This window comes from Homo sapiens, chromosome 8 (assembly GCF_000001405.40).
Source record: "Homo sapiens chromosome 8, GRCh38.p14 Primary Assembly".
In the NCBI taxonomy this organism is placed as follows: Eukaryota; Metazoa; Chordata; class Mammalia; order Primates; family Hominidae; genus Homo; species Homo sapiens.
In genome coordinates this window covers 129,986,835-130,013,031 of record NC_000008.11, presented here as the reverse complement: position 1 = coordinate 130,013,031, position 26,197 = coordinate 129,986,835, and the positions used below count along the sequence as shown (strand labels likewise).

General features: G+C 48.2%; 1 protein-coding gene, 1 long non-coding RNA gene, 1 other non-coding gene and 1 pseudogene across 65 annotated transcripts in view, besides 2 other annotated features; all 4 read left to right on the top strand.

Annotated features, from left to right (window-relative positions):
- The window catches only part of CYRIB (CYFIP related Rac1 interactor B), a 177,537-nt gene that overhangs the window by 4,098 nt on the left and 147,242 nt on the right, over positions 1-26,197 (top strand). The window lies entirely within an intron of this gene.
- Positions 1,712-24,986, top strand: LOC124902025 (uncharacterized). Its single transcript, XR_007061113.1, has 2 exons — positions 1,712-2,376; positions 24,701-24,986. It is a non-coding gene; the product is annotated as an uncharacterized LOC124902025 (long non-coding RNA).
- On the top strand, positions 4,579-4,698 carry MIR5194 (microRNA 5194). Its single transcript, NR_049826.1, has one exon. It is a non-coding gene; the product is annotated as a microRNA 5194 (primary transcript).
- Positions 8,431-8,504, top strand: RNU7-181P (RNA, U7 small nuclear 181 pseudogene; annotated as a pseudogene).
- Positions 19,585-20,085: an enhancer, noted in NCBI's record as "H3K4me1 hESC enhancer chr8:131005193-131005693 (GRCh37/hg19 assembly coordinates)". NCBI's record gives its function as "activates a minimal SCP1, AML or CMV promoter by ChIP-STARR-seq in naive and primed H9 embryonic stem cells {active_cell/tissue: H9 hESC(naive and primed)}" and the evidence as "EXISTENCE:reporter gene assay evidence [ECO:0000049][PMID:30033119]".
- Positions 23,959-24,118: an enhancer, noted in NCBI's record as "active region_27976". NCBI's record gives its function as "activates an Ori minimal core promoter by ATAC-STARR-seq in GM12878 lymphoblastoid cells {active_cell/tissue: GM12878}" and the evidence as "EXISTENCE:reporter gene assay evidence [ECO:0000049][PMID:35858748]".

Here is a 26,197-nt window from a genome sequence, read left to right as displayed (position 1 = left end):
TCGGGTGGGAGGAGTGAAGGATTGATTTTTTTTCTCTTCCCTAAAGGGGATACTTGATAAAGGCCTGTTGAAGACGGACGCCTTGTAATCTTGTTTTTCATCCTTCTCTGGGCTCTCAGATGGATCAGGTCCTTTTGCTTCAGTAGAACTTTGGCAATTAAGTCTTTGATAGTCTTAAAATGGGTGATTGGCCTCACCAGGCTGAAAGAAAGGCAACTTTGTTAGCCTAGGATGCATGAGGTTGAGAGCAATATTTTTTTTTTCCTCTCCTCCTTTTCTCTTTCTAGAGGCAGTGAAGGTTTTGGGGCCCTACAGCCTGGGTTCACATCCTGGCTCTGCCACTCACTAGCTCTGTGCCCTTGGCCAAGATACTTCCTTTCTCTTTGTCTTTCTCTTCATCTTTCAAATGAGGACTAACAGTCGCCACCTGGAAGTGTTGCTGTGACGATCAACCCAGAGGTTGTATGGAAAGTGCCCAGCAGAGAGCATGGCACCTAGAGGTGCTCAGCAATGTCTGTTTCTTCCCTCAGCCCCTGGTGCTCTTTCTGTCCCTCCCCTGGTCCCATCATCTGTCCCTGCATCCAATGTCTTACCCTCCCCTGACAGAGCTTCAGTTTCCTTTGGGAATAGAGCCCTTGGCTGGCAGGTCATTCCTGGATTAAACTTGGAGCCTCCAAGCTTTATGAAGTCCAAGTGTGCTATTTTAAACCAATTGTGGACTTTTGTGTGGCGCTTCCGCTGAATGGAAAGATAATTGTACCAGAGCTTGTCGAGAAGAGTACATGGACGAGTCATGGAGCTTACATTCTGTCCCATTGATTTTTTTTTTCCTTCTTTTGGAGGACTTACTAGCTGCCATCTGCTCCTTGAACATCGTGTTCATAAATATATAAATAATCGAAGTTGATGAGGAGGTTTGCTTAAAGAAGTGTTGCTGAGAGTGATTTTTATAAATATTTAAGATAATCTGAAATCATTAAAGGAATTGCGGGGTTTATTAAAAAACTGAAGACGTGTTTTGGAAAGGATCCTTTTCTTTACAAGCTGAATAAATGTCAAGAGTAGAGAAATGAGGGAAGAGAGCTTTCTGAACGTGGACATGGGATCCGTGTGGGTGAGTGGGCAGCCAGTCTGTCTGACTCTGCCAGGCCTCAGCGTTCTTTTTTTTTTTAATTATTTTTATTTTTATTTTTAGTTTTGAGATGGAGTCTCGCTCTGTCGCCCAGGCTGGAGTGCAGTGGTGCGATCTCGGCTCACTGCAAGCTCCGCCTCCCGGATTCATGCCATTCTTCTGCCTCAGCCTCCCGAGTAGCTGGGACTACAGGCACCCGCCACCATGCCTGGCTAATTTCTTTCTTTCTTTTTTTTTTGTATTTTTAGTAGAGATGGGGTTTTACCGTGTTTGCTAGGATGGTCTCAATCTGCTGACCTTGTGATCCGCCCGCCTCGGCCTCCCAACGTGCTGGGATTACAGGCGTGAGCCACCATGCCCAGCCTAATTTTTATTTTTTGAGATGGAGTCTTGCTTTGTTGCCCAGGTTAGAGTGCAATGGCATGATCTCAGCTCACCGCAACCTCTGCCTCCCGGGTTCAAGCGATTCTCCTGCCCCAGCCTCCCGAGTAGCTGGGATTACAGGCGCGTACCACCACACCAGGCTAATTTTTGTATTTTTAGTAGAGACAGGGTTTCCCCATATTGGCCAGGCCGGTCTCGAACTCCTGACCTCAGGTGATCTACCCACCTCAGCCTCCCAATGTGCTGGGATTACAGGCATGAGCCATTACGCCTGGCCGCCTCAGCGTTCTTGAAAGCTTCCTGGGCTTCCTTGAGGGTCGGAGAGGGCCACTGAGTAATGTGTGCCAGGAGTCCCCCCGGGGAGCACACATTTCAGATTCTGCTTGTGAGAGTCAGTGGCGGGCTTCTAGAAGGTTCCTAAGGCAGATCTCTTTTGGTTAATGATGGGCTATGTTTTAGTGAGACCTGCTAAGGCCATAGTTCCGGAGGCTTCTAGGTGGTAGAAGCAAGGGAGGGAGGAGTTGGAAGAGAACTTTCCAAACTTGAGTGTGCTGCGCATCACGTGGGGATTGCCTCGGAGGTTCTGAGCAGGGGCTGGGGCAGGGTGAGATGCTGCATTTTGAACACTTTTGCACATGATGCGATGCCTCTGGATTGTAGACCATACTTTGAGTGCAGTGGGCCAGGAGATCATCCAACCTGACCCTCTCCCCTTCATTCATTCAGGAGCCAGGCTGATGCTGATGGTGCAAATCTCTACATGACCCTGGAGGTTTCCAAGTTAGCTTAGAGGAGGAGGCATGCATGCGAAAACACACATATGACAAAGTGACAAAGGCCTAGGATGGACCTCAGGACAGGTGACAGTGGGAGCAGGAAGGGGTGGGAGAGAGACCACCTCTGTCTGCCAGCAGGTGCTGAATAAGCCCAGGAGGGCCTAGATGCTGTGAGCCATTGAGATGGGGCTGCCTTCAGGGAGCGGGGGAGGAGAGGCAGTGTGAGCTGAAGGACTGAGCAGAAACCCCATACTCAGAGTTTCAGGCCTAAGCATCCAGTACTCTAATTTTAACACACAAGGGAACTGGGACCTCCTGGGGGGAAGCATCTTGACCAAGAGGCACAGTCAGGACTGGAACCTAGGCCTCTGGCTCCTGAGCCTGGTTTTTGCTCACCGCTCCACAGTGCCACCCTCTGCATCCACTGCTGTGTTTAGCAGTAAGGCTGTGAGAGCAGGAGGATGCTGAGGACTTTCTCTAGTTCAAAATGTACCTCTGCCCTTGACCTTCGTTCATCAGGGGACTAGGCACTTAAATCCACAGTGAAAAAGAAGGCCCAATGTGGGAAAAGTGACAGCTTTGAAATCAACATAAACCATGCCAGAGACTAATCCTCTTTCTGTCTTTTCCCCCTCCCAGCACCAGCATCCTTTGATAAGAAGGTGGGGGAAGGACAGTGAGGGCCCCGTTGTGCAGAGGAGTTAAGGATGGGAAAGGCTTGGGCGGTAGGAGGAAGAAAAGCTCCATTCTTTCCTCATCTGCCTAATAGAGTCTCCTGTCACTGGCTCTGTCTGGCCGCTTTAAGCTCTTTGGAATTTACATCCAGTGCTCACTCAACAAAGCCTATTGCATGGCAGGGCTGATGGAGCCCTGGGCCTGCTTCTCAGCGCTGCATGACCTTGGGCAAATCACATCCCACTGCAGAACCAGAATTGTCATTGATGAAGCTGGGCTACTATCACCTGCTTCCCTGGAATGTTTGGAGGATTGAGTGGGATAATGTGTATCAAAGCATCTAGCATAGTCTAGCAGAAAGCCTCCATATACACGTCCTTCTCCCATGGGGCATAGTCACAGGTGGGTGAGAGCTGTATGATTTGTCCAGGGCTATCCTTCTGGCAGAGATGGGATCTGAATTTAATGCAGGGGGACAGTTTTTCATGATGCTTTTGGGCCGGGCGCAGTGGCTCACACCTGTAATCCCAGCACTTTGGAAGGCCGAGGCGGGTGGATCACCTGAGGTCAGGAGTTCAAGACCAGCCTGGCCAACATGGTGAAACCCTGTTTCTACTAAAAATACAAAAATTAGCTGGGCGTGTTGGCTGGCACCTGTAATCCCAGCTACTCGGGAGGCTGAGGCAGGAGAATTGCTTGAACCTGGGAGGCAGAGGTTGCAATGAGCCAAAATTGTGCCATTGCACTCCAGCCTGGGTGACAAGAGGGAAACTCTGTCTCAAAAAAAAAAAAAAAGATGCTTTTGAACTCCTCAGATGGCTTTATGAAAAATGAAACACTTTGCCATGTTAGTGGTTGGCGCCTTTGAAAAAGGACAGTGGCAGGTTGAGAAGCAAGGACCTTGGAGCCAAGGAGATCTTTGATTCAGACCCGACTCCCTGACTGTGAAGTCTTTTGCACATTGCATAACCTCTCTTGGCATCTCAGTGTCTGTTTTCCAGCTTGTTGTGGCTCTTAGGTCAGAAGATGTCTGAATATGCCTGACATAGGGTCTAGCATCAGTGAGTGCTCAGTAATTTGAGTCCCTGGTCTACAGAGCCTCAGTGCTGGGACTCAGGGAGAGGAACATGTAGACTAAGGGAAGTTTCTTCACCAGCCCCAGCTTTGCTCAAAACCAGAGTTGAAGTAGAATGCAGAAGACGACGTGGAAGTGAAACTTGGGCAATAACTTCCTAAAATGTCTGCTTTGCTCCCCTGAACTCTGGTTTTGTGTCTTGCCCTCTGCTTCTGGGACACGAGAGACCAACCAGTGTGTAGACAGATCAAACAGGCTTGCAAATGAAAGAATCAAATGGAGATTTCTGTGTTTTCTGAAAAGTGGTATTTTACAGTCATTCCTAAACATGCCTTCATAACTCTCAAGTTTTCAGGTCTTGAGGGAGGAGTGAGATTCATCCTGCCATTCAACAACAGAACAGTCACTGAGTGTGCACCTCCTGTGTGCTAGGCCCCGTGATGGATCCACATGGGGAATGATAGTGTGTGCCCCACAGTCACCCCACACATGTCCCTGAGGCCTGAACAGCTTGGAGAATGAAGGAGTTTGGGTTTATTTCTTTGGGTTAACTTAAACTCAGCCCTTCTAGGCCCATTCTTTTCACTCAGGAATTGGATAAGCTTTTCTGAGGGGTTTGGAATGGGATGGCAGGGAGAGTCACCAGACACCATGAATGACAGGCCAGCAGGTTGATGGTGGCGAGTGGAGCAGGAGCTAGGGAGTGAGGTCACATTTCTGGACTATGTGTGCAGGCAGCTATGGACCTGGCAGAAAGCCCCTCTATTTATTTATTTATTTAGAGACAGAGTCTCGCTCTGTCACCCAGGCTGGAGTGCAGTGGCACGATCTCGGCTCACTGCAACCTCCACCTCCCGGGTTCAAGCAATTCTCCTGCCTCAGCCTCCCGAGTAGCTGGGACTACAGGCGCCCGCAACCATACCTGGCTAATTTTTGTACTTTTAGTAGAGATGGAGTTTCACCATGTTGGACAGGCCAGTCTTGAACACCTGACCTCAGATGATCTGGCCGCCTCGGCCTCCTAAAGTGCTGGGATTACAGGCGTGAGCCACCATGCCTGGCCTGGAAGCCCCTCTTAACAGGGCTCCCATCAGGATCACGTCGTGGGTTTCTGTGATTTTTTTGGTCTCCTTTATGGCAATATTAACTTTCTTTTATGGAGCATGGAGCAAGTGTCCTGTACTTTGTTGTTGTTGCTGTTTTTGGAGATGGAGTTTCGCTCTTGTTGCCCAGGCTGGAGTGCAATGGTGCAATCTCGGCTCAGCGCAACCTCCGTCTCCCAGGTTCAAGCAATTCTCCTGCCTTAGCCTCCAAAGTAGCTGGGATTATAGGCCTGTGCCACCACGCCCAGCTAATGTTGTATTTTTAGTAGCGACAGGGTTTCACCATGTTGGGCAGGCTGGTCTCGAACTCCTGACCTCAGGCGATCCACCTGCCTCGGCCTCCCAAAGTGCTGGGATTACAGGCGTGAGCCACTGCGCCCAGCCATGTCATATACTTTGAATATTTTATTTCTTACTTTCATGGTAACTCTGTGAGGCAGGTAATATTATTCCCGTTTTACAGATGAGGAAACTGAGAAAACCTGGAGGCTGATAAAAAGCAGAGCTGGAATTCAAACATACCAGGCCAGCTTCAGTGCCCACCTCCTGTTTTTACTACCTCCTTTGGGTGAACCTCAAACGTAACTGGAAAAGTCTATGAATGGAGTTGTGTAGCCGAGAGCAGACACTGCTCCTGCTGGACCCTGCTGGGAGAGGGCGGTGGTTTTCTCAGTGGGCATCTCATAACGGCGGGCATCTCAGCAGCCCTCAGGGCCAAGAACCACCTACTGCAAACTCGTCAGCCAAGGAAGCTCAGAATTTATAATTGTGGTTGTAAGTAGATTACTTGAGCTAATGTGAGCAGTGAGGTTTTTGGTAAAGTTAGTGTGAAACTGACTCATACTAATAATCTACCTCTTGATGCATTTGGTGTTGCGATTTGTAGCACTTTGCATTGTCTGCATACATGCATCCCCACTAGAAAAGATTTGGGGGAAAGAAGGGTCCTGAGACCATACACTCTGGGGGATTGAATTTGAAAGGAAAATTTCAATGTTTGGATGCTGGTCCATGTAGACTTGAGCAAATAAGGTGCACATAGGATTTATACCTCTGCTTTCAAGTCCCCCCACCCATTTTCTATATGTGACCTTGCCAGCATACTCTATGCATGTGTTCCCCCTTCTGCAGGATTTCTTTAATCTGCTCATACCTTGGGTGTGCTTACACTTCCTGGGTGGGAGGTTCCAGATATATGTGTGTATATATATACATATATATATACATATATATATGTATATATATACACATATATATGTATATATATACACATATATATGTATATATATATAATTTGTGTTTTTAGTAGAGACGGGGTTTTACCATGTTGGCCAGGCTGATCTCGAACTCCTGACCTCAGGTGATCCACCTGCCTCGGCCTCCCAAATAAATAAATATATATATATTTTATTTTATTTTATTTTATTTTATTTTTTGAGATGAGAGTCTTGCTACGTTGCTCAAGCTGGACTCACTCTCCTGGGTTCAAGTGATCCTCCCACTTCAGCCCCCCAAGTAGATGGGACTATAGGTGCACACCACTGTACCCGGCAAGCCAGATTCTTTTTCTTCTTTTTTTCTTTTGAGACAGAGTGTCACTTTGTCACCCAAGCTGGAGTACAGCGGCGTGATCTCGGCTCACTGCAACCTCCGCTTCCTGGGTTCAAGCGATTCTCATACCTCAGCCTCCTGAGTAGCTGGAATCACAGGTGTGGACCACCATGCCCGGCTAATTTTTGTATTTTTAATAGAGACAGTATTTTACCATGTTGGCCAGGTGAGTCTCAAGCTCCTGACCTCAAGTGATCTGCCTGCCTTGGCCTCCCAAAGTGCTGGGATTACAGGCATGAGCTACCGCGCCCAGCCTGGAGTCATATTTTTAATGAGCATTCTAAGTGATTCTGATGCAGAGGTCCCTGTCACTGGGTTAGAGAAATATCTGTTAAGGGTAATCTGCCCGTTGTCATCTATTCTGAGGGTGTTGGGCGTGGGGTGGCTGGTGTGAGATGGAAAGGACAGTGGAGATCACCTAGTCCCATCTTTTCCAGCCTTTACATTTTTTTTTTTTTTTTTAAGAGATGAGGTCTCACTGTGTTACCCAGGTTGATCTTGAACTCTTGAGCTCAAGTGATCCTCCTGCCTCAGCCTCTCAAAGTGCTGGAATTATAGGTTCCCAGCTTTTAATTTTTAAGGCACAGATGGAGCTGTGAAAGAGGAAGCATCTCCCAGCTAGAGGTGACCCACCCGGGGACCCCATCACCCTAGATGCTGAGGAGGTCAGTATCTCACACAATGTAACCTCTTGTTAGAATCTCGCTTTTGGGGCTCTGATTCCAGTCGAAGGTGGAAGACTGTTCAGAGGCAATGGAAGCCCAGAGAGGTGATGTGTGTTGTCCAGTGTCACACAGGAGTGTGACAATCATCTAGGCCACTCTTCATTTAAAGAAGGAGGGACCAGGCCAGGCACGTGAAAGCCCGCTAAGGGACCCAGCAGTGAGGAGGGCGAGTTCTTTTGACCAGATAGCCTGTCCCTGGGAGGCGGGTTGTGAAGCCACAAGGCCCTGCCCTAGCACCCACCAGCCTGGGTCCTGGTTTCCTGTTCTGATCCGAGCTGGGCTGATTTTCCGCTGGTTCCTAACAGACAGACACGTGCCCCCAAGACCTAAAAGCACCAAAGGAGAAGAAACTCTGCTCAACAGAGTCACATCTTCATGGTGAAGTTCAGAAGTCAGCACAATAGGCAAAAAAATAAAAAATAAAAAATTCTGTGAAGTTCAGAAGTCAGCACAGTAGGCAAAAAATAAAAAATAAAAAATTCCTGGCCAGCCACGGTGGCTCATGCCTGTAATCCCAGCACTTTGGGAGGCTGAGGCAGATGGATAACGAGGTCAGGAATTTGAGAACAGCCTGACCAACATGGTGAAGCCTTGTCTCTACACTAAAAATACAAAAATTAGCCAGGTGTGGTGGCACGTGCCTGTAATCCCAGCTACTCGGGAGGCTGAGGCAGGAGAAACACTTGAACCGGGGAGGCAGAGCTTGCAGTGAGCCGAGATTGTGCCACTGCACTCCAGCCTGGGCAACAAAGCGAGACTCCATCTCAAAAAAAAAAAAAAAAAAAAAAATTCCTGACAATCTCCCGAGTTGTTCCTGAAGGTTGGTTTTCCATGCGCTGGTTGTGTGTGTGACGCTGTACAGGAACATCAGTGAGTCAATGCATAAAAGAAACTGCAGTAGACAATATACGATAAAGTACAATGCACAATATACAAAAAATAGAAAAAAGAGTACTATAGCTCTTTTAGAATTTGTCCAGCAGGCTTTCTAGTTTTCCCACACTAAGAAACAAAAAAACCTGTAGAAACAAATACAAATAAATACAATAGGCAAAATACACTTTTATATTATTTAAAGTTTTTAAAATGGAAAAAGAAAAGCATTTGGCCCTTTGAGTATAGCTGAATTCGGCTCAGTGAAACGAGGGTATGGCTGGGTGGCACACGCCTGCCGTCCCAGCTACTCAGGAGGCTCAGGTGGGAGGATTGATTGAGCCCAGGAGTTTGAGACCAACCTGGGCAACATAGGGAGACCCCTGTCTCTAAACAAAAAATAAAAAAGAAAATGAGGGTACAGAGGAATCCCATTGTATGTTTGATGCACTGAGGGCATCTTCGGAATGTGCTAAGTTGTCTTGATACCCAGTGGGGGTGTTACCTGTGTATGTGTGATTATCCGAGGGTCTCTCATGCTTGAGTGTGATAACCTTGGAGAGAGTTTCTGGATGTCTAGTTGTCTGCTGTGAGAGACAGAGTGGACAGAGGGAGACAGCCTTTCTTGACCTGGTGAGGCCAAAATAAATAAATAGATAAATAAATAAAGCAGAGTCTTTTTGGTTACCGCAGCCCCTAGAATTAGGCCCCTTCTGACTTTGTCATTGTTCCTGCACGTCTCAAATCTGCAGTTGAAGGCCCCATCCAGGAGTTGATCTGAAAGGGCTTCGGCCTCCTGGGCCTTTGGATTTGATCCCATAGTCCTTGAGGCCCTGCCTGAGTGGACCTGTCTCAGAATAAATGAGGAATAAACGAGGTATGACCTTTGAACGTCCCCCACTGTCCCCCATGATCAATGTGGTTGGAAAATGCTTCTCCCTAGATAAACTCATCATTGTCCCAACACCTTGGACACCTAAAACCAAAAGAAGAGGAACCTGATCTTTCGTTTTCCCTGATCATCCCCAAATAGCTGCTGGGTGAGGAGGGAGCATTTGATTCCACCTTGGAGCTTATCCTCGCATGCATTATGGATCTCTCATTCAGCAGGGCAGAGCTGAAAAGCACCTGAGATTGTGCAGCTAATGTGCAGAGACCAGAATGTTCCATAAGAACTCACTCCAGAGAAAACCCAACAGGTGTCCCTGACCCTGCGCTGTGATGCCTGTGAAAGGTGTCACCCCAGTGAAGGTGCATGCATTTTCTTGCTGGTGGCCAACCAGGTCTTCGAGTGACCCTTCTGGGCAACTATTGCAATTGATGTCCAGAGCCTTGAACATCTTCATAACCTTTGACCCAGGGAACCCACTTTGGGAATCTTTCCTAAGAAAAACAGTAAAAAATATGGACAAAATGTTGCATAAAGATTTTTAGCTCAGCTTTATGTTGTTGTTGTTGTTAAGACAGGGTCTCACTCTGTCAACTAGGCTGGAGTGTAGTGGCACGATCATGATGCAGCCTTGACCTCCAGGGTTCAAGCAATCCTCCCACCTCAGCCTCCCGAGTACCTCAGTTTTCAATTCAATTGGGAACAGCAGTGGTTCCCTAATTTGATTCCATAGGCTTCTTCAGAATCCTCTGGAGTAATTACAGATACTCACATAGATTGGCAAGTGCCATCTCTAGAGGCAGAAGCTGGGACCACAGGTGCCTGCCACCATACCTGGCTCATTTTTTTATTTTTAGTAGAGATGAAGTCTTGCTGTGTTGCCCACACTGGTCTCAAATTCGAGCTCAAGCCACCCTCCTCGCTTGGCTTCCCAAAGTGTTGGGATTACAGGCGTGGGCCACCGCACCTGGCTAGCTCAGCTTTTTACAGTAACAAAATAAATTGGAAATAATCTAAGTGTCTGACAGTAACCACGTACTTAAACCAGTTATGCTTTAGCCACATGGTGGAATATTACACGGCCCCTCAAAGTCAGGGCCATGGAGGCTGTGAGGAGACTTAGAAAACCATCTGTCATTTATAGGAAACAAGACTTTGAGGAAATAGACCAAAATGGTGTCAGAGGTTGTGTGAGGGAGATAAGAATATGGAGATATTCTTTCCCTTTCTCTCATTTTCACGTTTTTTTCTAATGTGATTATGTTACTTTTATTGTAAGAAAACCTTCCCTTCTCCCCTTCTTTTTTCCTCTCCACTAAGAGTCTCCTCTTCTTTTCTTCTCTTCTGTTGCCTAGGTTGGAGTGCTGTGGTGTGATCACAGCTCACTGCAGCCTCGACCTCTCTGGCTCAGGTGATCCTCCTGCCTCAGCGTCCCGAGCAGCTGGGACCACAGGTGCATGCCACTACATCTGATTAATTTTTTAATTATTTGTAGAGATGGGGTCTCCCTATGTTACCCAGGCTAGTCTAGAACTTCTGAGCGGAAACAGTCCTCCCGCCTTGGCTTCCCAAAGTGCTGGAATTACAGATGTGAGCCACTGAGCTTGGCCTCTTTTCTTCTTCTCTAAGAAACCTAAAATACTGCTGCTTTCAGGAAAACAGAGAAAACCAAAGTTTAGATGACTCTTCATAAAAGATATACAACAAAAACAGTTCAATTAATAAAACTTAGGCCCAGGCATCCCTGAGGTGAAATACGGACAGGCCTGATTAAAGAAAGACAGCTAGCAATTCTTGAATAGAACAGCCACCATAGACATCTCCTAGGTCTATGCAGAAGACATTATTGTTGCCGTTTTATAAATGAGGAAACCTGGGGTCAGAGGGAGGTCACAAGATTTTTCTAGAATCTCACCATTCCTTCCAGGCAAACAGCTGATGGGATTAAGGAATCTAGAGACATCCACATACCAGTACCCATCTTCAGGTCCTATAGAAATTATTTTCAGGGCCGGGTGCAGTGGCTTGCACCTGTAATCCCAACACTTTTGGAAGTCGAGGCGGGCAGATCACTTGAGGTCAGGAGTTTAAAAAACTAGCCAGGCGTGGTGGCGCACGTGTAGTCCCAGCCACTCGTGAGGCTGAGGCAGGAGAATTGCTTGAACCCAGGAGGCGGAGGTTGCAGTGAACCAAGATTGCGCCATTGCACCCCAGCCTGGGTGACAGAGTGAGACTCAATCTCAAAAAAAAAAAAAAAAAAAAAGAAATTATTTTCAGGGAAAGGTAAGATGAATGAGAGCCACTGACGAACAGTTGCCAAGTGTTTTCTGTTTGGGGGCTTCATGTAATTTCCAAAGCGAAATGAACTTTGGTTCAGGTGGTGGGAGCTGTGGTCAGTGTGTTCTCAATGGAAGGTGAGTGACCTTATGGCTCCAAGCACCTGACCAATCTCTCTGCTCCTGCCTCCTGGACGTCCAGGGAGCAAGGATGCAGAGGGTGTGCCCAACTTCTCTTGGGGAGAGGGACCACTTTTCAGAACCCTCTTCCTGTGCTCTGTGGTGGGAGGCAGGGGCAGAAGAAAAGGATGGATCTGCCTCTGAGAAGCCCATACGGAGCAGACAGACGAAGGCACCCCAGCGGCTGGCTGAGCTATAACCGTTTATGGGATTGCAAATTTCCAGACAGACTCTTATGGTGTGTGATGCAGCCCACTTGTCATCTTTGCCTGTGTTTTGGAAGGGTTCGGATTCAATGCTCCTCAGCCATTTTTTAAAGGGAGGCACCAAATATAGAAAGTACCTGGTAGGTAGGTACCAAACATATGTTTGATGAATGAGTATATGAGTTAATTTTCTACTTTGGGTGGACAATTATTTTTTTGGGAGGACAATTTTTTATTATTAGATTTTTTTTTTCTTTTAGAAACAGGGTCTTGCTCTGTTGTCCAGGTGCAATCATGGCTCACTATGGCCTCTAACTCCTGAGCTCCAGGGATCCTCCCACCTTGGCCTCCCAAAGGGCTGGGACTACAGGCTCTCTCCACTGTGCCTGGCTGATAATTTAAATTGACATATTTATTTATTTATTATTTTATTTTGAGACAGAGTCTTGCTCTGTCACCCATGCTGGAGTGCAGTGGTGCAGTCTTGGCTCACTGCAACCTCAACCTCTTGGGTTTAAGTGATCCTAGTGCCTCAGCCTCTGAGTAGCTGGGACTGTAGGCTTGAGACACCACGGCTGGCTAATTTTTATATTTTTAGTAGAGATGGGGTTTCACTGTGTTGGCCAGGCTGGTCTCGAACTCCTGACCTCAAGTGATCTGCCAGCCTCAGCCTCCCAAAGTGCTGGTATCACAGACGTGAGCCCCTGTGCCTGGCCTAAATTGGCATCTTTAAAACTATTCATTTCATGCCCAGGATTTATCATTTTGATGTGTGTATATAAGTATTTCTGTGATTAGATGCAAAAGGGGGACATGTCTTAGCATCTCAAATAGGCATTTATTGAATGTCCAGAAAAAACCCTAGGTTTGCTCATTGTCTTCCCCGTCTCTATCCCTTACCCCACCTTTCTCTTGTCCTCACATCTGGGCTCTCTTCTCCTCAGCACCTGGGAAAGGAAGTGATAAGTAAGTCAGGTGCTGTGGCTGAAGGAGTGAAGAATGAACTCAGCTACTTGCTGAGCTGGGCCCTGGGCTCACCAAGCTGAGTCATGCTGAGTCATGCATGCTCCTTGTCCTTACAGTTTCGAGGGTCAGAGGAAGAAAATGAAGGACTAAAACACAAGGGGGACACGGTAACAGTAGAGGTTTCTGCTGGGTGTACATCATCTCGTTTAATCCTCATCAAAACCTTATGGGAGGCTGGGTGCAGTGGCTGATGCCTGTAATCCCAACACTTTGGGAGGCAGAGGCGGGAGGATCGCTTGAGCCCAAGAGTTCCAGAGCAGCCTGGGCAACATCAGTAAGCCCCCATCTCTACAAAAAAATAAAAATATTATCTGGGCGTGGTAGCACTCATCAGTAGTCCCAGCTATTCGGGAGGCTGAAGTGGGAGGACTGCATGAACCGGGAGGTCGAGGCTTCAGGGAGCCGTGATCGTGCCACTGCACTCCATCCTGGGCAACAGAGTGAGACTCTGTCTCCAGCATATTAAAAATACAAAAGCACAAAACCTTGTGGGAGATTCCATCCAACTTAGCCAATCGTTGGGGGTGCCCACCAGGCAGGAAGCAATTCTGGTAAAAGGTTTAGTTCTGGGAGGAGTTGGGGCCTGTGGCAGCTCCAAGGTTTTCATCACCTGAGGGTGTCAATTGCATCTGGTCCTTGGGTGCGTGGCGCACGTGGGCCTTGCCTCTGCATCGTGTCACTAGCCCTGCCATTTGCTCACTCTGTGTTCCTGGGGGGTCATGTCACTTGTCTGAGCCTCCCTTCCCTTCCCTGTGGACAGGGATCCCGAGACGGGCCTGGTGGATGCAGTTCAGCATGTTTGGTGTGTTGCAGGCCCTGGTGACTAAGGTCGGCTCCTCCCCACTGGCCATGCCTGGAGGGTGTTGTCACCTTGCTGCTCTCTCAGAGGAGTGTGGCTGCCTACTTGGCGGCAGCTGGGGTCTCTTCTACTCTGTCCCTGCTCCTCTGCCCCTCCTGCGTCCCACCCCCCCCACGTTATTCTCAGAGCATGGGACAATTCCTCTGTTAGGGTGAATAATTGAGCGTTAACTCTAGGAACAGACGGCTATGAATAGATGCGAGGGAAGAAAGCGTTTTGCCAAGTTTGAGCTGAGCTGAGGATTGTCGGCGCTGAATTAAAGATGAGCTTCCTGGCTCTCTGTTCTACTTAGCATTGATCGAGCACCATGTCTTGAATTTTCAAAAAAAGAAGAAGGAGAAGAAAAAAGTCAGAAAGGGGTTTATATATTTCACTTGAGGTCAGGAGTTCGAGACCACCTTGGCCAACATGGTGAAACCCCGTCTCTACTAAAAATCCAAAAATTAGCCGGGTGGGGTGGCACATGCCTGTAATCCCAGCTACTTGGGAGGCTGAGGCACGAGAATTACTTGAAGCTGGGAGGCAGAGGTTGCAGTGAGCTGAGATCATGCCACTGCACTCCACCCTGGACGACAGAGCAAGAATTCATCTAAAAAAAAAAAAAAGAGATGAGTTTCCTTAAGACATTGCAAAGCCAACAACCCCCCCGGGGAGCCATATTAAAGCACCAATGGGAAATTTCGTCAGCAGTGCTTAATCAAAGGCATTGATTGTTTTCTGGGCCCCACTGGTTCCTGTCCCATTATTGTCCTTAATTGTGGAAACTTGTGCATTAGGGTTTCATTAAGGCTGGCCCTGGATGTTACCCCTCCTTTGCTCTCTTTGATCTCTGCAAAGTCATCCACTTCCTTGTGGAATCCTCAGGGTTCCTCAACATCTTTGCCACTCATGTTCAAATTCAGACCAGACCCCCATATATTTCATAACAGGGTCCTCCTCTGTACCCAGGTACCGACTTGGAAGGACGTAGTGTGTGAGAAGCTGTTATTGGGAGGGACCTTAGCCAGTATCTGGTGCAGTGGCCAGATGTGGACACTGAGGTCCTGCGATGAGCTGACAGTGCTCTGGAAGGGGCAGCCTCCGTTTCTGAGGTGTTTTTTTTGTTTTTTTTTTTTTTTTTTTGAGACAGAGTCTCGCTGTGTCACCAGGCTGGAGTGCAGTGGAGCGATCTCAGCTCACTGCAACCTCTGCCTCCCGAGTTCAGACGATTCTCTTGCCTCAGCCCCCTGAGTAGCTGGGACTACAGGCGTGCACTATCACGCCCAGCTAATTTTTGTATTTTTATTAGAAACAGGGTTTCACCATGTTGGCCAGGATGGTCTCGATCTCTTGACCTCATGATCCGCCCGCCTCGGCCTCCCAAAGTGCTGTGATTACAGGCGTGAGCCACTGCGCCTGGCCTGTTTCTGAGCTTCTTTAGGTGCCTCTTGTAATTTGAGCAGAGTTTCTTCCTCCAAAGGCTGTCCCCAAGGAACCTGCAAATCCACAGGATTTTAAAATGCAGTCTTGACAGGCTATGTGACAACCTAGTGGCAGGAGGGGGAGGGGAACCCACATTAGCTGCATCGTGATTCTCTGGCTCTGTCCAGAGGAACTTAGCACGTATCTCCCACCAGGGACCAATTAATTCTGCAGGAAGTTATGGTTTACATTTTCCCCTGGAAGCTCAGGCCCTGCACACATTTATGTGCCTTGGCCCTCAGAGCATCCTCCTGCAAGTTTTGTTTAATCACATTCATGACTGAAAACGCACAGCATTTTCCCGTGATTTTATTAGCTAGTCCTTACCCACATTTCATCTGCTTTCTCTTAAACACTTTTTTGGGTCTGTGTTTATAGACCCTGAATAAACACAAATCCTTGACTTTAATTAGGAAGCCAGCAATGGCCAAAAAAGGAGGCTCATTCTGTCTGTTTCTCTTCTACTGTGGATATTGAAAGGACAGTGAATGAGGACAGGGTATCCTGCAGTAGATAATAGAGTGGTCTTGGGGTGAAGGATTGTGTGGTGTCTCCTCGCCCCCAATAGACCATGTTCCCTGGGTCAGCTTAAGTGACATCTTGAATAGATCACTTGGTATTCCCTCTCCCTCCTTTCCTCCCTCCTCCTCCTCCTCCTCCTTCCTTCCTTCCTTCCTTCCTTCCCTCCCTCCTTCCCTCCCTCCCTCCCTCCCTCCCTCCCTCCCTCCTTCCTTCCTTCCTTCACAAAGGCATACTGGGTTTTCATAACACCATTTCATGATGGTATCTTAGAGGGCAGTGATTTTTGCCTGTGTTCACGCTGGTATATTTGCACTTAGAATAGAACATACTCTAGGTGTTCAGTAAATATTTGTTTAATGAATAAGTGAGTTCCTGCCATTCCATCGTTAGGAATCCTTTTCTTTCTTTTAATCACAGGCTTCTATCTTCAGGGTATCTTAAAAAAAATACCCCGGAGGGAGGGTACAGAATACATTAGATCCCAAACAGTAAGTTGGTCACAGGAAGAGAGATGGAATTCTGCGGGCTGTGGGGGAGGGAGGGCTCAAAGCTGTCTGAGATGTAGAGAGTTGGTTTGGAAATTGGTATGAAGAGAGTGAGTGCAGAGACCCAGCTAGTTTACTAGCAGTAATATTGTGGGCAAGTCCCTCAAGCTCTCTGAGATAAATGTCCTAATCCACAAATGAGTAGGGAATGATAATGCCAGATTCTTACCTTGAGTCTCCCCTGCCCTTTCCCACTTGGCTTCTGTTTCCCCACGGCCCCTCTGTCCTCCTGGGTCTTCCCACTGGCACTTCCTCAGGACATCCATTCTGCTTCACTGTGTGCCAGGCACTGTACTAGGCTCAGAGGATGCAGTGGTGGATGGGGTGGATGAGTCCCTTTCACATCTAAACCAGGAAGTTTAGATAGAAGGAGACCCAGTGCTGATACAGGGAGCTTGTGATGTAGGGAAGTCTGAGCTGCCGTGGCCTGTGGGGTGTGAGGTGGGGGTTGGGGGACATTGATCCCAGCCTGAGAGGTTAAGGAGGGCTTCCCATAGGAAGTGGCAACCAATCGGCTAGCGGCTGTGATTAATTACTCTTTAGGTTCTTAGCTCTAAGCAAAGTGCCTTGGTGTTCAATGAATGAATGAAGGAGTGGATGCCTGTAAAAGTGTCTTACAAACTGGAGTGTGCAGTGCAAATGGTAAGCGCTGGTATTATGATTGTGGAGGGTAGAGCAGGGGCACCTAAAACAGGGTTCATTTCCCAGTTTCCTGAGGACCAGCTGCTGACCAAGAGCTAAGGTCTGCCCAAGAGCACAGCCAACTGGCGTGTTGGGGTCAGCCTCTGTGTCTTGTCTTCCACCCAGGGAAGCAGATTGCCATCTACCATGTTGACATCTTTAGCCTACCTGGTAGCCTGCAGCCCTTCCTAAAAGGACCTAGGTTTGCATATCCAGGCCTAGTCCTCTGGACCACGGTCCTCGGGCTGGTGGCTGATTAAGGAGGTAACTGACTGGGAGGAAGTATGTGTGTGTGTATGTGTGTGTGTTTAGAAATCTGTGATGCCCAGCAAATGCTAAAAAACATCTGGAATGCAAATTCACATCACTAACCTCTAACCCTCCATGACAGTTGCCATCCCCAGTGAAGCCTTCTCTGTTCTCCTCTCCTCCAGCTTACTGAGCTTGTGGTCAGGGATGGCAACTCATTCATCTTTGTAACTCCAGTGCCCAGCACGAGGCCAGGCACATCTGGGTCTTAGGACAGTTTGCTGAATGAATGAACAAGCTTCAGATAGTGTTATTCACAATGTAACTGATGCTGAATGGCTTCTAGGGTAGGGGAAGAGGGATGTTTCTGGAAATGACCTTTTGCTACTACTTTAGATGTTTTGCAATAGCAGATGCTTGAAATTCTGCTTCACACTTGTTCTCTGTGGTAAGAGATGAAGAAACACTTCCTTTGTTCACACTTGGCTCTGGGGCTGTGTAGACATGCAGAGGCCTCTCCCTCACTTCCGCCACCCTGGGAGCCTGAGTCCATTCTGTAGGTCTCTGTAGGACTCAGTCATGGTGTGATGGCACTCAGGGATCTACCTTTACTTAATTCTGCAGCTTGGTGGGTTGGTAGGTCTCATGGGTACTTTTTATATTTTGGGGTGCTCAACATTCCACCCACCTTCCTGGTTGGGGGAACCCTCAGTATGTAAGTCTTGGAGGGAGGCAGAGCCTCTTCTGCCAGTATGGAAGCTGAGGTGGACCACACATTCTTTCTCGCAGCCTGTGGCCTCAGCTTGGCCACATGACCACTGCCACCCTCTGCTCTGACCCTGGGCTGAGTACTGCACAGATGCAGGGGCAGGAAGAGGTTGTTTAGAGTTGAGGCCCAGTAGGAGTGGCAGTGTCTGCAGCAGACGTCCTGTGACGTGGCCTTGGCCACATTTTCCCCCTGCACAGTATCCGTGGTCCTTTGTCTGAGCATGGCTCTGCACTTTGCCTGTTGATTCTGGGAGTTTCTCATATTTTCTCATCAAAATCCTCTTTTCCATAAAATAGTCATAGCTGATTTCTGTTGTCGATGTTCCATAGCCCTGACTGGTGTGTACCGCCAGGCTGTAGCAAGGCACCCTGTGCCTGCTGTGGGCCTTGGTGACATGGTGAAACGGGGAGCTTGGGTGTCTCTCTGCACCTGCCTCCCATTCTGGGAGGTAGATGGCCCCCCAGCCTGATGCCGTGCCTTGAACACCCAGGCTTCTGCGGTTCAGTTCCATAGAGGTGAACCCACCTTCTGTGTGGCAGCCACTGTGCTAAGCACAGGCATACAAAGATAAAGAAACCTGTATCAGCTTCCCGGGGCTGCTTTACACATCTCACAAACTGGGGACTCAACAGACATCTACTGTCTGAGAGCTGTTCTGGAGACTGGCAGTCCAAGGCGAAGGTGCCGGGAGGGTTGGTTCCCTCTTGAGGATGTGTGGGAGAGTCTGTTCCATGCCACCCCCCCCAGCTTCTGGAGTTTTGGGGCAGTCTTTGGCGTACCTTGGCTTGCAGGTGTGACACCGTCTGCTCGTGTTCACGTGGCCTTCTCCCTGTGTGTGTGTGTCTTCACGTGGTTATCACCTTATTAGGCCCCACCCTACTCCTCTATGATCACATGCTAACTCATTACATCTGCAAAGATCCTAAATCCAAATAAGGTTACGTTCTTTGACATTAGGGGTCAAGACTTCAGTGTATGAATTTTGGGGGACACAATTCAGTATATAACCAAGCAGTAATCCTGGACTTTAAGGAGCTTACAGTCCAGAGGTGGAGAGAGACACACAACTGGATGATGGTGTCCAGATGGTGGGAGAATTGAGGGAGGTAGGCAGAGGTGCTGTGGTGGCACAAGGACTCCTTTTTTTTTTTTTGAGACAGGGTCTGGTTTTGTCACCCAGGCTAGAGTGCAGTGGTGCGGTCTCAGCTCACTGCAACCTCCACTTCTTGGGTTCAAGTGCTTCTCCCACCTCAGCCTCACAAGTAGCTGGGACTACTGGTGTGAACCACCACGTCCGGCTAATTTTTTTTTTTTTTTTGAGAGAGAGTTTCACTCTGTCGCCCAAGCTGGAATGCAGTGGCATGATCTTGACTCACTGCAACCTCCGCCTCCTGGGTTCCAGCGATTCTCCTGCCTCAGCCTCCCGAGTAGCTGGGACTACAGGTGCCTGCCACCACACCTGACTAATTTTTGTATTTTTAGTAGAGACTGGGTTTCCCTGTGTTGTCCAGTCCGGTCTTGAACTCCTGACCTCAAGTGATCTGCCTGCCTTGGCCTCCCAAAGTGCTGGGATTACAGGTGTGAGCCCCTGTGTTCAGCCAGAGTTCTTTTTTTGTTTTTTTCAGGCAAAGTCTTAGTCTGTCACCCAGGCTGGAGTGTAGTGGTGTGATCTCGGCTCTCTGCAACCTCTGCCTCCTGGGTTCAAGTGATTCTCCTGCCTCAGCCTCCCAAGTAGCTGGGATTACAGGCACGTATCACCACACCTAGCTAATTTTTTTTATTTTCAGTAGGCACGGGGGTTTCACTATGTTTGCCAGGCTGGTCTCGAACTCCTGACCTCAAGTGATCCACCCGCCTTGGCCTCCCAAAGTGCTGGGATTACAGGCGTGAGCCACCGTGCCCGGTGGGGAAGATGTTGAGTTCTGTAATGAACAAGATGAATGAGAGGGTGCTTGCAACCACGGTTACCCTGCTGACCCCAGCCTTGCCCATCCACAGTAGGCCCCACCTTTGTTTTGTAGAATTTAAAGGCAGCCAGGAAACACTATGCTACCAGAGAGGAAAGGTTGCTCTTCCTTCTTGCCGTGTATTCCTTTCTTCCCTGGCTGCCAGGAAGCTCGGAGCCAAATTTGCGCTTAGTCACAGCAGCTGTCGCCAGCCCACAGGTTCAGGCCATTTGCTTTGTCATGGTTCCCACTATCATATTTTCTTCTGTTTGTAATTCTCACGGGTTCTTTTCTTGTTGTTAGCGATCTCAACTGTCTCTTGGAAAGAGGCAAGGTATAATAAACACATACATGACAAAGAAAGGTAGAGATACGAACAATGGGTGATCAGGGCTCTGCAGCTCTGCCCTCTTCCAAAAGTATTGGTCTGAGTTAAATGCTTCTCTGGAAAGACTGGCTGATCTTGGAGATTAGGGATTTTAGGCTCTTGGAAAACAAGGTCTGTGCGTCCTTCATCTCAGGGTCTCCAGCATTTATCACAGTGCCTCACAGTGTTCGTTAAAGAGCAGCGAAAAACAGTGAACTCATAATAATGATGGCTGAAACTCTGTTATCTTTGTGAGCGCTGTTCCAAGAGGGGGTGGCAGTAGGGTCATTTCTTGCTCTGACAAGTGGGCAGGGTCCTGAGGGGACATTTTCCCCACTTCCAATTCATTTTCAGATTGTATCAGATTTTTAAAAAATGTTTTTGTTTTATTTTTTATTTTTATTTTTTGAGGCAGGGTCTTACTCTGTTGCCCAGGCTGGAGGGCCTTGACCGCCTGAGCTCAAGCAATCCTCCTGCCTCAGCCCTCCGAATAGCTGGGACCATAGACATGCATCATCACACCTATCCAATTTTTCTATTATTTGTAGATACAGAGTCTCGCTATGTTGCCCAGGCTGGTCTCAAACTCCTTGGCTTAAGCACTCTGCATGCCTCAGCCAGGCCTCCCAAAGTGCTGGGATTACGGGCGTGAACCACCATGCTCAGCCTAAAAAGTATTACTCGGATCATACCACACCTCTGCTTAAAACCCTTAATAGCTTCCTATTGTTTTTTTTTTTTTTTTTTTTTTTTTTTTTGCGACTCTGCTGTTGCCCAGGCTGGAGTGCAGTGGCGCAATCTCAGCTCAGTGCAGTCTCCGCCTCCCAGGTTCAAGCGATTCTCCTGCCTTAGCCTCCCAAATAGCTGGGACTAAAGGTGCGTGCCACCACACCCAGCTAATTTTTGTATTTTTTGGTAGAGACAAGGTTTCACCATGTTGGCTAGGTTGGTCTCGAACTCCTGGCCTCAAGTGATCTGCCTGCCTCGGCCTCCCAAAGTGCTGGGATTACAGGCATGAGCCACCGTGCCTGGCCAGAAATTTATTTCTTACAGTTCTGGAGGCTGAGAAGTCCCAGGTGGAGGGGCTGCGTCTGGTGAGTCTTTTTGCTGGTGGGGACTCTCTGCAGAGTCCTAAGGCTGTGCAGGGCATCACATGGTGAGGGGGCTAAGCTTGCTTACATTGGTAGCTCAGGTCTCTCTTCCTCTTCTTATACAGCCACCAGTTGTCCTCCCATGATAACCCATTAATCCATTAACTCACCAACCCATAATCCATGAATGGATTAATCCATTCACGAGGGCAGAGTCCTCATGATCCAATCACCTCATAAAAGCCCTGCCTCTCAATACAGCCACATTGGGGATTACGTTTCAGTATGAGTTTTGGAGAAGACTTTCAAATGTCCATTCTATTCAGCCAGTATTTATTGAGCACATACTTAGTGCCAGGCAGGCACTGTGTTAGGGCCTAGAGATACAATGGAGAACAAAAGACACAGTATTTGCCCTCCTGGAGTTTTCATTTCAACTCCTCGCCTGTTGTACCTTTTTTTTTTTTTTTTTTTTTTCTGAGACAGAGTCTCGCTCTGTTGCCCAGGCTGGAGTGCAGTGGTGCGATCTCGGCTCACTGCAACCCTCACCTCCTGGGCTCAAGCGTTTCTCCTGCCTCAGCCTCCCGAGTAGCTGGGATTACAGGCGCCTGCCACTGCACCTGGCTAATTTTTTGTCTTTTTAGTAGAGATGGGCTTTTGCCATGTTGGCCAGGCTGGTCTTGAAATCCTGATCTCAGGTGATCCGCTCACCTTGGCCCTCAAAAGTGCTAGGATTATAGGTGTGAGCCACCGTGCCTGGCCTTGTTGTACCTTTAAACCATGTCTTGGTTGGGCACAGTGGCTTGCAACTCTAATCCTAGCACCTTGGGAGGCTGAGGTGGGAGGACTGCTTGAGGCTATGAGTTCAAGACAAGCCTGGGCAACATAGTGAGACGCTGTCTCTAAAAAAACAAAAAGGAAATTAGCTAGGTGTAGTGGCACATACCTGTAGTCCCAGCTACTTGGGAGGCTGAGGCAGGAGGATCGCTTGAGCCTGGGAGTTTGAGGCTGCAGGGAGCTGTGATCCTGCCACTACACTCTAGCCTGACAGAGTGAAACCCTGTCTTGGGGAAGAAAAAAAATATATACACACACACACACACACACACACACGCATACACACACACATGCATGCACACACACACACACCGTATTGTTCTTTACCTATTCATTTGCTCAGCAGCATGAAATATTATACATATTACGTATATACCAGTCATTTACTGAACACCTATTATGTATTATAGATGAAACATACTTTATCTAGATATATAAAGCATGCATATGCATGTGTGTGTTAAGACTACATAAAACAAGCGTTTATTGAATGCCAACTATATGCTACAAATAAACATGTTTGTATGTATAAAACATGCATATACAGTATATACATATATGTATATTCACGTGTTTATGGAGCACCTACTTGGTGCCCACACTGTGCTGGGCACCAGGGAGAGCACAGCCTAGTAGAAGAGATGGAGAAGAAAACTGTGCCTTCATAGATGGGGAAGTGCTCTAAAACTGAGGACAAGTTGGAGAGGTGGCCCTCTTACTGCCTCGGAAAGTCAACGATGTGAAATAAGAAAGGGCACATATATACACCATGGAATACTATGCAGCCATAAAAATGATGAGTTCATGTCCTTTGTAGGGACATGGATGAAGCTGGAAACCATCATTCTCAGCAAACTATCGCAAGGACAAGAAACCAAACACCTCATGTTCTCACTCATAGGTGGGAGTTGAACACTGAGAACACATGGACACAAGAAGGGGAACATCACACACCGGGGCCTGTCGTGGGGTGGGGGGAGGGGGGAGGGATAGCATTAGGAGATATACCTAATGTAAATGACGAGTTAATGGGTGCAGCACACCAACATGGCACATGTATACATATGTAACAAACCTGCACGTTGTGCACATGTACCCTAAAACTTAAAGTATAATTAAAAAAAAAAAAAAAAGAAAGGGCATCAGGCTTGCGAGGTCCTGAACACGTCCTGAGGCTGGGGTGGGAGTGACTTCTGGTTGTGCTGCTCTGCTGCCTTCATGAGGACCCCCTCTGGCCATGCACCTGCTACCTACACCCTGGTCCCTGCAGAGGGAACGACTCAGAGTGCCCCTTACGTGTTGATTTAGGTGCTTGCCAAAATCAGAGATTGTCTGAGGAGTAACTTAATTTGAGTTCCTTCAAAATAATCAGTGAGATGGAAACTTGAGAACAGCCTCGGTCCGCTTTGGGAAGTAGAGACCGCCTTTCATTGCTCAGTGGGCAGCTGCCATCTGTGCTGCTGGTGTTGGCCATATTTACCGGTAGGAGAGAGGGTGAGAGACCACAGAAAGTCTAACGCCTGGAAGGCTCCAGTCGTCCTGCTGGTAAACACAGAGACCCCATTTTCCAGAGACCCACTGAGAGGTGGTGCAAAGAGCCGAAAACACATATGCTTCTCTGTGGCTTCCATTCTTGAGTGCGTAATGAGTGTTGTAATAAAGAAAAGTGAAAATGAAGATTCAGTTATTAATAAATGTTGGGGGGAAAAGACAGAACCTGGTATTTGTCCTGGCAGGTCAGCCTCCTAGCTGTGTGATGCTGGACGGTGATTTCGCTTCTTGAAATTTCAGTTTCCATTTCTGTAAAATGGGAAGGTTGTACTAGAAGATCTCCAGGGTCTATTTTGAAATGAACTCTCCCAACGTTGCAATGATAAGCGCTCTCAGTTCATGTGCAGCGTTGAGAGAAGTTTTCTTTGTAGATTTTTTCCTTAGGGCTCTTGCTGAAATGTACACATCTGGTCGTTTTTCAATTAAAACAAGGAGAAAAAAAAACCCCACCCGCCATAATTTACATAACAAGGACATATTGAACTCAGCCTCTTTCTGTCCCAGTGTGGGTGTTAGACAGCTTGGGGGATTATGGGCCTTGGTAATCACGGAGGGGAAGAAGCTATGTTTATGAGGTCCTTTCAATATTTATCCAACGCCCACAGGGAGCAGAGGCTTTGACCTCAGTGGACTGGATGTGGGTTATAGAACATGAGGAGTTACCCTCATCCTCAGAGAGCTTATGGTATAAGGTGGGCTTGCTAAGACTCCTAAACATTCGGAAACACTGTTCCTGTCAGGTGACACGTGCAAATGCCTGGAGGTGGGAAGGATCTCAGCATAGTCAAAGAACATTCACAGGTCCACGTGGCTGAATTAGAGGGTTCCTGAGTGTAAGATTCTCCCCGGGGCCTGAAAGCTTAAGGAGATGCATCACTCCTCCCTTCTCAGGCCCAGTCCCAGGGCGCAAGGCTACTTGCGTCAGCAGCGTGCCGAAGCAAGATAGCGGAATCAGGAAGAGAGCCGGCCGGAAGACACCTGCCCTGGCCGGAAGATACGTACCCCTGAAGATCGAGAAAGAGGCCATCCGGGTATCACGTAGCAGTTTCGTACGACTAGGAGACTTCCTGTTACAGGAGACTATGAAACCTTTGTTCCGTCCTCACTTGGGGCTGACGCCATTTTAGGCCTCAGCCCGCCTGCATCCAGGCGCTCATTAAAACAGCATGTTGCTCCACACCGCCTCGTGTTGTCTGTTGGCGTGCTCGCAGGGTTCCAACCGATACAAAAACTTTACATTGAAGACATCAGGGTCAGCTGATGGTGGCTTTGTAAGGTGTATTAAAGGGACTTGCGTCCCAGTCTGTAGGCCGTGGGAGCCAGCGGAGGATTTGTGTACTAGAAACGGTGGGGCCGGGCGCGATGGCTCACGACTGTAATCCCAGCACTTTGGGAAGCCGAGGCAGGTGGATCACTTGAGGCCAGGAGTTTGAGACCAGCCTGGCCAACATGGTGAAACCCCATCTCTTCTCAAAATACAAAAATTAACTGGGCGAGGTGGCGCCTGCCTGTGGAATCCCAGCTACTTAGGAGGCTGAGGCAGGAGAATCGCTTGAACCTAGGAGGTGGAGGTTGCAGTGAGCCAGGATCGTGCCACTGCCCTCCAGCCTGGGCGACGGAGCGAGACTCAGTCTCATAAAAAAAAAAAAAAAAAGAAAAAAAAAAAGACAAGAAAAAGAAAAGAAAAGGTGGGAGGTGGCAGGCGAGAGAATGTAGTCCGGGGCCCACAATGAGAGAGGGATGGTGTGTTTGCATGAATGGAGGGCTTGGGGACTTAGCTCAGCCTCCCAGGTGCCATCAACAAGCCACAGTCAGACCCGAAATGGTAGCCAGGGTAGGAAGTGGGACCTAGTAGCAACCAGCAGCCTCTCATTAACCCGCAGAACATTGTGTCAGCGTTATGTTGCAAGTGACAGTAACCAAACTCAAGGTAGCTTAAATCTAGAAAAGATCATTTATTGTGTCAAGTCACTACCTGGTTAGGCATGGCTGATCCAGGGGCCCCAGCTGTGTGGGCCAGGTTTTGTCTCCTGTGTCGTGGCCCTGCTTTTCTTTCTTGTTTCTCAAGCAGTCTCTCCTTTCAAGATGGCAAGAGGCCATCAGCTTGGATTCAGGTTTTTATCCACTCATGTTAGCAACGCTGTAGGGTAGGGGGAAGGTACCCCTTTCCTAGTGGCTTCAGCCAAAGTGTGAGAGAAGTCTCTTACTGTCTAGTTAGGGGCATATGGCTGCATTTGAGCCGTCTATTGGTTCTGGAGGTTCCGTGCTTTGACTGTCCTCCTCTAGGTAATGTGCCACCCCTGGAGCATTAGGGGAGGGTTAGGGGATGCCCCAGAGGAAGACAGTGCCATTACCAGAAGGGGCTTGGAGGCTGGCATGCAGTGCTGG